The sequence below is a fragment of the Homo sapiens genome, chromosome 20 (assembly GCF_000001405.40).
Source record: "Homo sapiens chromosome 20, GRCh38.p14 Primary Assembly".
NCBI lineage: Eukaryota > Metazoa > Chordata > Mammalia > Primates > Hominidae > Homo > Homo sapiens.
In genome coordinates, this window is record NC_000020.11 from 24,537,741 (window position 1) to 24,550,400 (window position 12,660).

The following is a 12,660-nucleotide window of genomic DNA, read 5'->3' on the forward strand; positions in this document are numbered from 1 at the left end:
TGCCTGATCCTAGAGCCTCATGAGGCTGGAAGTGTACTTGAGGGGGTACACTTTGGGAGGTGTTTCTGCCGTCACCTGTGGTTCCTTGACTTTCTGCTGTCATCTGTGGTTCCTTGACATCCTAGGATGTGAAGGAGGAGGAGGAATTCCAGATGAGAATTCCAATTGAGATGATCAGTGGTCAGCGCACAGTCTTCTTTTCTCGGTATGGTGTGCACTTCTCCTTCCTATCCAGATGATTTTAAACAAGTCCCAGACAGTGTATCTTTTATTTCATCTGTAAATACTTTAGCATGAATCTCCACATAGATAGCTCTTCTTTTTATGTTTTATTTTAGTTCAGTTTAATTGAGTTTGTCTAATTTTTTATTATGTTAGCATAAAATCTACAATCTTAACAATTTTTAAGTGTACAGTTCGGTGGTATTAAGTACACTTATAATGTGTAACCATCACCACCATCTATCTACCATCTATCTCTATATCCCTTTTCATTCCATACCTATTAAATAATAACTCCTCACACCACTCCCATCCCCTGGAAACCACACTTTTGATTACTTTTGAGTACTTTTGATGACTCTAAGTACCTCATATTGATGGAATCATACAGCATATGTCTTTATGTGACTAGCTTATTTCACTTAGAGTAATGTCCTCAAGGTCCATCCATGCTGTGGCCTATGTGAGAATTCCCTTCCTTTTTTAAGACTGAGCAATACTCCATTGAATGTAGATAGCACATTTTGCTTATCCATTCATCCACAGACACTTGAGATGCTTTCAGATTTCAACTATTATGAATAGTGCTGCTATGAACATGGCATGCAAGTATCTCCTCAAGACCCTGTTTTCAACTCCTTTTGGTATATATCCAGAAGTGGAATTTCTGGACCATACGGTAATTCTATTTTTAATTATTTGAGGAACTGCCATACTGTTTTCCAAAGCGACTGCACTGTTTTTCATTCCCACCAGCAGTGCACAAGGATTCCAATTTTTTCACATCCTCACCAACACTTGTTATTTTCCGTTTTTTTTTTTAACAGTAGCCATCCCAGTGAGTATGAGGTCATATCTCATATGTAGTTTTGATTTTCATTTCCCATTATTAGTGATGTTGAGCATCTTTTCCTGGGCTTATTGGCCATCTGTATATCTTCTTTGGAGAAATTTCTATTCAAGACCTTTGCCAGTTTTTGAATCAGATTATTTTTTGTTGTTGAGTTTTAACCATTCTCTATATATCTTGGGTATTAATTCCTTATTAGATATATGATTTGCAAATGTTTTCTCCCATTCTGTGGCTTACTTTCTTACTCTGTTGATATTGTCTATTGATGCACAAAAATATCTAAATTGTTATGAAGTCCAACTTGTTTTTTCTTTTGTTGCCTCTGCCTTTGGTGTCACATCCAAGAAATCATTGACAAATCCAATGTCATGAAGCTTTTGCCCTGTTTTCTTCTAAGAGTTTTATGGTTTTAGATTTTACATTTAGGTGATTGATTTATTTGGGATTGGTTTTTGAATATGGTGTTAGGTAAGGGTTCAACTTCATTCTTTTGCATGTGGATATCCAATTTTTTAGCACCATTTGTTGAAAAAAAATGTCCTTTCCCTATTGAATGGTGTTGGCACCCTTGTTAAAAATCATTTGATTGTATAAGCAAGGGTTTATTTCTGGGCTCTCTATTTTATTCACTTGGTCTATATGTGTGTATTTATGCCATATCACACTGTTTTGATTCTAGTGCCATTGTAGTAAGTCTTAAAATCAGGAGGTGTGAGTACTCCTACTTTGTTCTAAGTCCAGCCTGAGCTCCTTGAGATTCCATATGAATGTTAGAATGGGTTTTTCTGTTTCTGCAGACAACATTACTGGGATTTTGCTACTGATCGCACTGAATCTATAGATAACTTTGGGTAGTACTGACATCCTAGCAATGTTAAGGTTCCCAGTGCATGAATATGGAATGTCTTCCCATTTATTTGTGTCTTCTTTAATTTTTTTCAGCAGTGTTTTGTTTGTTTGTTTGTTTGTTTGTTTGTTTTTGAGATGGAGTCTTGCTCTGTCACCCAGGCTGGAGTCCAGTGGCACGATCTCAGCTCACTGCAACCTCTGCCTCCTGTGTTCAAGAAATTCTTCTGCCTCGGCCTCATGAGTAGCTGGGATTACAGGCGCCCACCACCACGCCCAGCTAATTTTTGTATTTTTGGTAGAAATAGGGTTTCACCATGATGTTGGCCAGGCTGGTTTCGAACTCCTGACCTCAAGTCATCCACCCACTTCAGCCTCCCAAAGTACTGAGATTACAGGCATGACCCACCATGCCCTGCCTCAGCAATGTTTTGATGACTTCTTTGTATGAGTCCTTCACCTCATTGGTTCAATTAATTCTGAAGTATTGTGTTCTTTTTGTTGCTATTGTAAATGAATTTTTAAAAAATTTCTTTTCAGATTCTTCATTGTTGGTATATAGAAATGCAGCTGATTTTTTGTGTATTAACTTTGTATCCTGCTACTTTGCTAACTTCATTTATTAGTTCTAATAGATTTTTTTGTGGAATCTTTAGGGTTTTCTATATGTGAGATCATACTTCTTCCTTTCCAATTAAGTGCCTTTTATTTCTTTTTCTTGCCTAATTTCTCTGGCTACAGTTTTTAGTACAGTGTTCAATAAAAGTGGGAAAAGTGGGCATCTTTGCCTTGTTCTTGATGTTACAGGTGCTTTCACCATTGAGTATGATGTTCACTGTGGATTTTTCAAATATAGCTTTTATTTTGTTGAGGTAATTTCTTTCTATTCCTAGTTTGTTTCATGTTTTTATCATGAAAAGGAAAAGCATCAATGCTTTTCCAGAAATGCTTAGTAGAAAGGCATTAAATTCTTTTTCTATGTCAATAGAGATAATTACGTATTTTTTGTCTTTCATTCTGTTAATGTGGTGTATTACAATGATTGATTTTCATGATTTTAACCCTCCTTGCATTCCAGAAATAAATCTCACTTGATCATGGTATATGATTCCTTTAATATGCCGCTTAATTCAGTTTAGTAGTATTTTGTTGGGAGTTTTACATCAGTGTTCATAAGGCATATGGGTCTGTAATGTTCCTATGGTGTCTTTTCTGGCTTTGGTGTCAGGGTAATGCTGACCTCATGGAATGACTTAGGAAGTGCTCACTTCTCTTCAGTTTTTTTGGAAAAGTTTGAGAAGGACTGGTATTAGTTCTTTAAATGTTTGCTACAATTCACCACTGAAGCCATTTTGTAGAAAATCTCTATCTATTGCCATAAAACCCTAAAACTCTTTGACTAAGACAGAAAAAATCAGAGCTGAAAGGGACCTGAAAACTTTCCTTGCTCAATCACCCCATTAATAGTTCCACTTTCATAAGCCACTTGCCAACAGTCAGATATTTAGTAGCAAAACTAGGGCTGAATCTCTGGCCTCGTGACTTTTAGTAAAAAGTGTTCTTTATACCGTGACAGTCTCCAAGTAAAAAAATGTATATGTGTTTATGTAGAATATAAAACTTGTATAGAATATGTTGTATACCTACTTTCTGACTTATATTTTTCTTTCACAACCCCTCAATTTTCCCACTCACCTGATATTCACCACGACTCATGGTTAGCTGTGCATGTTAGTAACTCCCCAGGAGAGTTCTTACAATAGTGTTATAGAAAGAGATTAAGAACTAGGGACTCAAATGCAAGGCCACAGAGGCCCCTCTTCATCCTGTCTCCTCCTCCAGCTGCCTTCCTCTATAAGGAAGCAGGTGGAGCATGATTGGCCAGTGATGCATTTAAGGCGGCTTCCTCTGCCAAGCTCAAAACCAGACTCCCAGTCTTATAAGATGATGACACGGGGAACTCAGTGGTTGATGCAGCCCAGAAAGTGTTTGGTCAAGAGAAGGGAGCATCCTAGACATAGCAGAGACTGCTTATGCAGAAATAAAGAGTCAGGCAGGAGGCTTTCATCTCTGTAGCTACTGGTTCTGAGTATCATCGACTGAGAAAAAAATAAATAAAAAATCCCACAAAAGTTATAAAGGGAATTGGAAGAACAGTAGCACTGTCCTGGGGCAAGACTCCGGAGTGCATTGGTACAGAGAGCCATGTGGATAACCCTAGATGGCAGCCTCATTAGAGGCATTCTCTCTCCTCCCATCAACCCAGTTTCATCTCTGAGCGGATGAACCCAGGCCCAGGGAAAGGCTCTGAGCAGGTAGGAGTGGGTACCAGCAAACGTGGAAGGAAATGAGCTAATGGGAATTATGAAGCAAAGGCAATATATATGACAAACCAGTCTGTGTTGAAAGAGATATCGAAGGATGCGGAAATGACAAAATAAAATTCCACTAATTTTGATCCCTTTCATTCATACTTAGTCATAATTTATGATACTCAAAATTGAAAAAATTCACTTCAATAAGAAAAAAAAGTTGTTCTTTTAAAAAAATAAATTGTTTGACATAATTTGAGTACATTTTAAAATTTAGTAAATAATCAGTTGTAAAATCAACTTGTTCAGCAGGCCAAAATGTGCACTGTACACTGTAGCCCAGCACCTCCTCAGCTTTAATGTGCAGACTCATCAGCTGGGATCGTGTTAAAATGCAGATTCTGATTTAGTAGGTGCAGGTGCTACTCAAGATTCTGCATTTCCAACAAGCTCCCAGCTGGTGCTGATGCTTCTGGTTCTCAGCAAATTCTGAGTGGCCAACTATAGAGAGCACCCTAGGAGACCAAGCTGTGCCTCTCTCAAGATGCCTCAGTAGCAGATTCGTGTTTGGGACTTGACACCTCAAGATCATCACTAAGTAGAGATTATTGCAATCACATAATTTCCTGCTTGAATGAACAGCCATGTACCTGGGAAGAGCTAATCGCCTTTACAGATTTGCAGTTCTGTTTTCCTATGGACTTGTCAGATGCTAATGCGATTGGGTTTACCTGTGGGTTTCAGGATGTCTGCTAGCAATCAAAGGTTCCTCTAGGCTGCAAGGGAGCCAATTCCTGCAGTCTCCTTCATTTGGAAGCAGAGACTTTATAGAGATTCAGGTAATCAATTTCTGCTAACTCTGGCTAGCCGCCCCCACAGACCCTTTTTAACATTCACTGAATAGGTAGGACTGCATTTTATCTAACTCTCACAGTTACTATGCGTTTATCAGCTGGCTGGTACAGTCTGAAACAATGTGGGTCTGGGTGATTAGCTTGTTTTCAAGTGTGATTCTCTTGTCTCATCTCTGTTTTCTCCTCCTCCAGGAGAAATGGCTTCCCTGAGGCAAGTGTAACCTACATTCCCAGCCCACCAGCCTGACGCCCAGCCAGGGAGAGAGTACCATGGATGGCATCATTGAACAGAAGAGCATGCTGGTGCACAGTAAAATCAGTGATGCTGGCAAGAGGAATGGTTTAATTAACACCAGAAACTTGATGGCCGAGAGCAGAGATGGTCTGGTGTCTGTTTACCCAGCGCCCCAGTACCAGAGCCACCGGGTGGGGGCCAGCACAGTGCCGGCCAGCCTGGACAGCAGCAGGAGTGAGCCGATGCAGCAGCTGCTGGACCCCAACACCCTGCAGCAGTCAGTGGAGTCCCGCTACCGGCCCAACATCATCCTCTATTCAGAGGGCGTGCTGCGCTCCTGGGGGGACGGTGTGGCCGCCGACTGCTGCGAGACCACCTTCATCGAGGACCGGTCGCCCACCAAAGACAGCCTCGAGTACCCGGATGGGAAGTTCATTGACCTCTCAGCTGATGACATAAAAATCCACACCCTGTCCTACGATGTGGAGGAGGAGGAGGAGTTCCAGGAGCTGGAGGTCACAGGATGTGTTTGTCAGAGGCCCTCTAAGAATGTGTGATGGGGATTCTAGGGAGGGCAGGAGCCATGAATGCCTGGCAAAAGTTAGGGAATGAAACTAGTGTGCAAAAATGCAGAAACCAAAGGCAGTCTTGGTGCCCTTCACTCTTGAGTGCTTATGGAAGATAGAAGGAGAGGAAAGACTTAGATTAACAGAAACCCAGGGGCGCTTCACCGGTGATTCTGGTATGAGATGACCCCAGGTAATGGCTGCAGATGGCAGTGCTGGTGGGTTCATCGGTTTTCCCTGCTCTCCCGCATCCCATGAGACAGAGAGGTCATTGACAAGATGAGAGAGGGACACCTGATCCTAGAGCCACATGAGGCTGGAAATATACTTGACAGGGGACACTTTGGGAGGTGCTTCTACTGTCACCTGTGGTTCCTTGACTTTGCATTCCACAGTTACTACTGAGAGATTGTTGATAGAGCTGAACCGTGCTGGAAGAAAGTGTAGGTACTGATAGCCTGAAGGGAAGATAAGTTGACTTCTTAGATGACTCGCTTCTTTAATGGACTGGAGGGCAGGTGACAGCATTTGAATTACATGCACAGAGATGTACACACTGCACGTTGGATATAGTGTGGTAGGCACAGTGGTTGCTGAGTGTGTGGCACATTGTCCCCCCAGGACAGCACCGGTGAGAGGGTGAGAGCAGCTGCTGCAGGCCATGGACTAGCGGTTTGCTGCCCATGCCTCCCAAGTCATTCCACTGCAGTGAGGCCAGGGGTGTTTTCCCAGGACGCGATGTCAGGGAAACACGTGCCAGGCTTTCCGTCAGTTTGGTGGGGAAGGAAACCGCCGAGCAGGTCCAACCTTCAGAGGCAGTGTGTGGCCAAAAGGGGAAGGGATGTCTGTTTTTCACTAAGGTAGGCGAGAACATTTTTGTAGGTGGAGAGGAAATGTTCAGAATGGAAAATTCAGGATCGTGGCCAGCAGCTGGGGAGTGGTCTTGGGGAGGCAGGAGCTGAACTCCAAGCATGTATGTGTGAGAGCTGGCCTCTCAGAAGAAGTCCACATGCTGGCCTGGGAGAGAAGAGAAGGGTGGGGTAAGGGAAAGTTTGAAGGGCTCTGGGTTGAAGAGGAAGAAAAGGAGGGGTTCGTGTTGGCTGAGCATCAGCACAGCCAGAGAAGCTCCTGGGGTGTGAGGAGATTGCAGACAGTCTAGAGCAATGAACTGGGGGAAGTGCCCATTCTAGAAAAGACTCCTGGAGAAACTGCCCAGCTGCAGTATGAGTTTGTGTGAAGATCTGGTCAGACCCAGGGCTCTGTGACTTTCTGCAGCCATGTGGGACCATCTTTAGCAGGTGAGGCTCCCTTGGCAAGGTGCACTCTGCCTGGAAGGTGGAGGAGGCAGGAGAAAGCAATAGGGAGGAAGTTTGGAGCAGAATCAGACCCACAACCATGGGACCCCACACTTGATAGAAAGGCCGGAGAAATTGCAAGGGAATGACAGGCCAAGGAGACCAGAGGATCAGGATTGGAGAGACCCCATTGAGAACCAGGAGCTGAGAGATCCAGCGTTAGTCAGGAGGGAGGATTAGAAATGGAGAGGGAAACTTTGGTGCAACTCCAGCCGGTGGAGCCCGGGAAGCCCACTGGCAGGGAGTGGAGAGTCGTGGCATGGAAGAGGACCAAGACGTGATGCCTGGGCATCTGCGCAGGCCCCAATGCCCTCTGGTGACACCTGTGAAGGGAGGGCACTCACGCTGCAGCTGTGGAAAGTTGGGAGCATGCTTGGCTTCTGTTCAGAAGCCTCTGCCCTGTCTACTAAGTTTTCCAAGATCTGAGGGCTTTGCTGACAGCAAAGCGTAAATGCTGCCCGACTCGCATGGAGTGGAATTAGAGAGGCAGATGCACGAAAATGCAGCCCCAGGAGTTATGGGAATGGAATACCCCATCAGCTCTGAAGAGGGTCTGGGGCCCTGAGCTCAATGCGGGGTTCAGAAGTCATCACACAGGCAGGAGCCCTCCCCCGGCTGAGTCTTGAGGATGAGTAAGAGGAGGCTTGAGGGGAGCTTAAATAAAAGCTAGGAATGGGTGGGGGCAGACACAGACTTGTCTGTCTTAGTAGGTCCAAGGCTCTGACAAGTAGTATAGACTTCTGGGGAGGTAACCTTTCCCACCCAGTCCTGCTTCTCTGATCTAGCAGCAGAAGTGGAAGCCCACCAGAAACAATTCTTTTAATAATACAGCAATAAGAATCTTTAGTCATAATAACGGTGCCTACTCTGTATTAATATTTCTAGTGACTTTTGAATATAACGTAAGATGGAGCATGTTGGCATTTATACTAAAGTAACATCGATGAAACAGCAAGTTGTTTACTTAGGCACTTTAGTGAGACTTTCTGGTCGGCTTCCAAGGAGCTCACCTGGACCAAGAAATGGCCCCTTCCACAGGCTCTGAGCAGAAGGAATGGAGACACATTATGGCTGCTGCTGCTTCTACATGCGGCTCAGGATGCCAAGGAGGATTTCAGAGCCTCACCACGGTGGTTAACTTCGTCCTTTTTCTCTGAAAACAAAGATTTTCTCAGAAACATTCTTACAGTATAGCTATGGTGCTTTTCATTCCCTTCTTCGGTAATTAACAAAATACTAATGACTGGTTAGAAGTGTCATTGAACATGCAGTAGCTGTTCTTTGGTTTACTGTTTTCTCCATTCCATTAAATAATAAAGGGTCATGTATTGGTTAGCATTTGCTGCATAACAAATCACCCCCAAAACACAGTGCCTTAACAACTCTTTCTTCAGCTTATGATTTCTGAGGGTCGGCAATTGAGCTGGGCTCAGCTGGGTGATTGTTCTGCTGGTCTCACCTGGGCTCACTCACTTGTCCATAGCTAGCTGTGATAGGCTGGGAAGCCAGCCTCTGGTGGGCTGTTGGCTGCAGTGACAGAGGTAACTGCATCACCCAGCTGTCACCCATCCTGTCCCAGGCTTCATTTTGCGGCAGCCAGAGAGGTGGGGCCCACTTTGTGAGGGCTTGTCAAGTCTTTGCCTGTGTCCTGCATGTTACTATCTCATTGACCAGAGCAGGTCCCACAGCCAAGCTCAGTCAGTGTGGGAGAGACTGCTTAGGGTCACAATATAGGGAAGTGATAACAAATTGGGTGCCAGTACTGCAACCACAGAGCCAAAAACCATAGACTTTTGGCATCATTTTTTTTTTCAGATGGTCTAACTGAACAGAATGACAACTACTGAAACAAAAGAACAGTGAATACTGATCTGAGCTCTTTCCAGAAGGCAGTTCTACTCAGCCAAAAAAGAAAAAAAAATGTGATTTTTAACTTCTTTGAGTATTGTATAGCTTCACTTGGTTTATAGCAAATGGATACTGTTTCCCAAATAATGCCGTTTTCAAAAAGCCATTGCCCTGGTTCAGAATGGGGCCCCCTCATTGCCCTTGTTCAGAGGGGGCCACCTCATTGCCCTTGTTCAGGGCCCCTCCCATTGCCCTGGTTCAGAGTGGGGCCTTCTCATTGTCCTGGGTCAGAGCAGGGCCCCCTCATTGCCCTGGTTCAGAGCAGGGCCCCTCGTTTCCCTGGTTCTGAGCGGGGCTCCCTTGCTGGAGCTCCTGGGCACTGGGTGGCTGGCTGTGTTTTCCCCAATCACTTTCCCAAGACAGGTGCATCCCTGGCATTTATGAAGGAGCCTCTCCAGGTCCGAAGAGGTCGGCCTGTCTGACATATGTTTGCAAGGGCATGTGGAGCGTTCAGTTTGCCTTCGAGGTTGTGGTAGTAACAAGAACAGGTTCTATGGCTAACTTTGAGAATATTTATGGGAGGTTCTCAACTATTCGGCAAGTGTTTATGATCTGTCCTGCTCCACCTTAAGTCGCCAAGTAGAGCATGGCTTGACATTAGACAGGTAGATGTAGGGGACCTCTGGGGCTTTGCGGGAGTGCAGAGGTGCCATGCCGCTCATTATCTAGTGCCACTGCGCTCAGGGTGACAAGACAGGCATCCTGTGGGGGTGCCCTCAGGGCATCCTGGGTAGTGATAATTGGGCCTGATGTCCGACAGCCCAGGCCTCTTCCCAGGTATGTGAACACTGCTTCATCCACTTCCCAGCCAGTAGCTAAAAACTGCTGTCTCTGGGAATACCAGCAGTGGGAAGCCACTTCTCCTTTCACACAAATAAACTCAGAGAGACTTCAGGGACAAGTAATGAAGTAGGTCTACAAAATATACAATTTGAGTTTACAGCCATGAAATGAAGTGGATGGAGTCCAGGTGCAGAGGCCTGACCACCCTCCTGCCCTTAGAGATGGTGACCAGATGTTGAATGGCACTTACCTGTGGCAATGCAAAACCTCTCAGACCTGAAGTACATGACGGTCACCACCTAGAAGCGGTGCCCATGGGGGCTGAGCCTTTTCTTCACTGAAGGAAGAAGGGGGAAGGGAACGCTCATCGATGGAGCACCTTTTCTGCCACGCCCTCCAAGTGCACTTGGCCATCGAATCCTCGAAGCGCTTGGGGATGGGTCATGGTGCTGTCCTCATCCTACACGTGGAGAGACAGAAACTTGGGGTGTTTCCAAGATCACACACGTGGCTCTGCTGTCAGCCCTTGGATCTGAGACAGATCTCCTGACTTTAGACTCTGTCTCCTCATGATGATGCTGTTCTTTCTACATTAGGGGGAAAAATGTGTTCCAGTAAACTTCTGTTTCAGCATTATGCCAGAGTCCAAGGACAAAGCAGGAAGAGACGGCACCAGGACTTCACTTCTGTGAACTCTCCGCCAAGCTTTCCAAGGCCTTCCAGTCTGTCTTCCCATGTAAAAACTTGAAAGCTGTTGGAGGACACAGAATTCTATAACTGCAATAGAGCACTTTACATATACCTCAGTCATAAGTATGGAAAGAGGGGCGAGGACTCAACACACATGTGAAGAAAACCCAAAAGCATGAATGAGACAGAACAACAACAAATAGAACAGTTGACCCAGAGGAAAGAGAAAGAGTTCAGAAAATAATAAACAGCATTTTGAAAATTATTTTTAGTATCTCCAGAGAGATTTGAGGTGCTGCTGATTTGGGTGGAAGGAAATTTGGGGGTTTTGTTTTGCTCATTTGTTTGTTTACCTCATAGCACTGGCCAGAACCTCAAATACATTGTTTAGTGTGAGTGAACGAACATCCTTGCCTTGCTCCTGATCTTAGGGGGAGCTTTTAGCTTTCATGATGAAAGGTGATGTTTTTGTAGTTCTTTGTAGACACTCATAATCAGGTATAGGAAGTTCCCTTTGTCACTACTTTGTTGAAGAGGTTTTTTATTTTATTTTTTATTTAATTTTATTTTTTAATAGACAAATAAATGGGATATTCATATTCATGGGGTATATAGTGATGTTTTGATACATGTAACATATGGTGATCAGATCAGGGTAATTAGCATATTCATTATCTCAAACTTTGATCATTGCTTTGTGTTGGGAGCATTCAATAACCTCCTCTTAGCTATTTGAAACTGCATAATATATTATTTTTCAACTGTTTTCATGCTACAGTGCTGTAGAACACTGGAAGTTATTCATATCTAGCTGTAATTTTGTATGTTTTAATACATCTCTTCCTATCTCTCCCTTCCTCCTACTCTGCCCACTCTCTACTATTCTTCCTTCTACTTTTACTTCTATAAAATTAACTCCTTTTAGCTTCCACGAGTGGAACATGCAATGCTTAACTTTCCCTCCTGACTTATTTCATTTAACATAATGTCCTCCAGTTTCATCCATATTTGCTGCAAATGACATAATTTCATTATTTTTTTATGGCTGAATAGTATCCTGTGGTGTTGAAATGGGAGAGTTCCCTGATTCCCCTTGCAGGACGTGGGGTGGGTGTGGTTCACCTGTTCTGTTGCTGCTCAAACCCCTTGCAGGACTGGAGCATGCAGAAGGGCAGGTGCAGAGGCTGGGGCGAGTGCTTTATGCTCTGGCCTTGCAGTAGTGTCTAGGGGTGGGTGACTGCAACCCCACTGTTACAAAGCTCTTTCAGCTTTGCTGTCCACAGACGGCTTGAATACTAACAGGCTCAATGGGCCCTTTGCCTTTTCGCAAGGACAGAGGGCTGGATCCAGAGCTGTTGCCCAGCATCCTGGAAAAATCAGGTCACATACGGGCTTGAAGGATGAATGTGAAGTTTTTTTGAGTGGTAGAGGTGGTTTTCAGTGGGATGGATGTGGAGCCGGGAAGGATACTGGAGTGGGAAGGTGATCCTCCCCTGGACTTGGGCCACCCAGTGGCTGGACTCCTCTCTGACCATCCCCAACCAAACTCCTCTCGGCATTCAGATGTTCCTCCTCTTCTCCCTTTCTCTGCCATGTTGTTCTGCCATCTGTCTATTTGCTGGTCTTCTGGCTTGCTAGTCTGCTTCTGGGTCCTGGGTTTCAGGGTTTATATGGGTGTAGGCATGCGGGCCAAAATACAACTTTTTGGGTACAAAAACAGGAATGCCTTTTCTCACTTAGGGCCACAGATATCCAGGCTTGAGGATGGGGCTTTGCCAGGAAACTGCCCTCTTCTACCCAGTATTTCCCTGATTCCTGTCCTATCAGTGTACAACTACCCCATTTTCTTTATCCATTTATCTGTTTGTTGTTGGAGACCTAGGTTAATCCCATATCTTGGATATTGCGAATAGCACTGCAACAAACGCATGGTGTAGATGTCTCTCTAATATACTGATTTCGTTTCCTTTGGATAAATGCCAAGTAGTGGGGTTGCTGGATTGTATGGTAGTTCTATTTGTGGTTTTTCTAGGGAG

At 44.4% G+C, this 12,660-nt stretch overlaps 1 protein-coding gene across 23 annotated transcripts in view; it reads left to right on the forward strand.

Moving 5' to 3' along the window:
• The window catches only part of SYNDIG1 (synapse differentiation inducing 1), a 196,988-nt gene that overhangs the window by 68,112 nt on the left and 116,216 nt on the right, over positions 1–12,660 (forward strand). For 21 of the 23 annotated variants that reach the window (NR_147606.2, NM_001323606.2, NM_024893.3 and 18 more), the window contains one exon: positions 5,280–5,837. Coding sequence is in view for 22 of the 23 variants with exons in the window: in NM_001323606.2 (NP_001310535.1) it covers positions 5,358–5,837 (480 nt within the window). In the remaining variant the exon portion in view is untranslated. Of the gene's footprint in view, positions 1–5,279; positions 5,838–8,128; positions 10,890–12,660 lie in introns of those variants that run through there. The other 2 variants (XM_017028069.3, XM_047440500.1) reach the window with 1 other exon arrangement.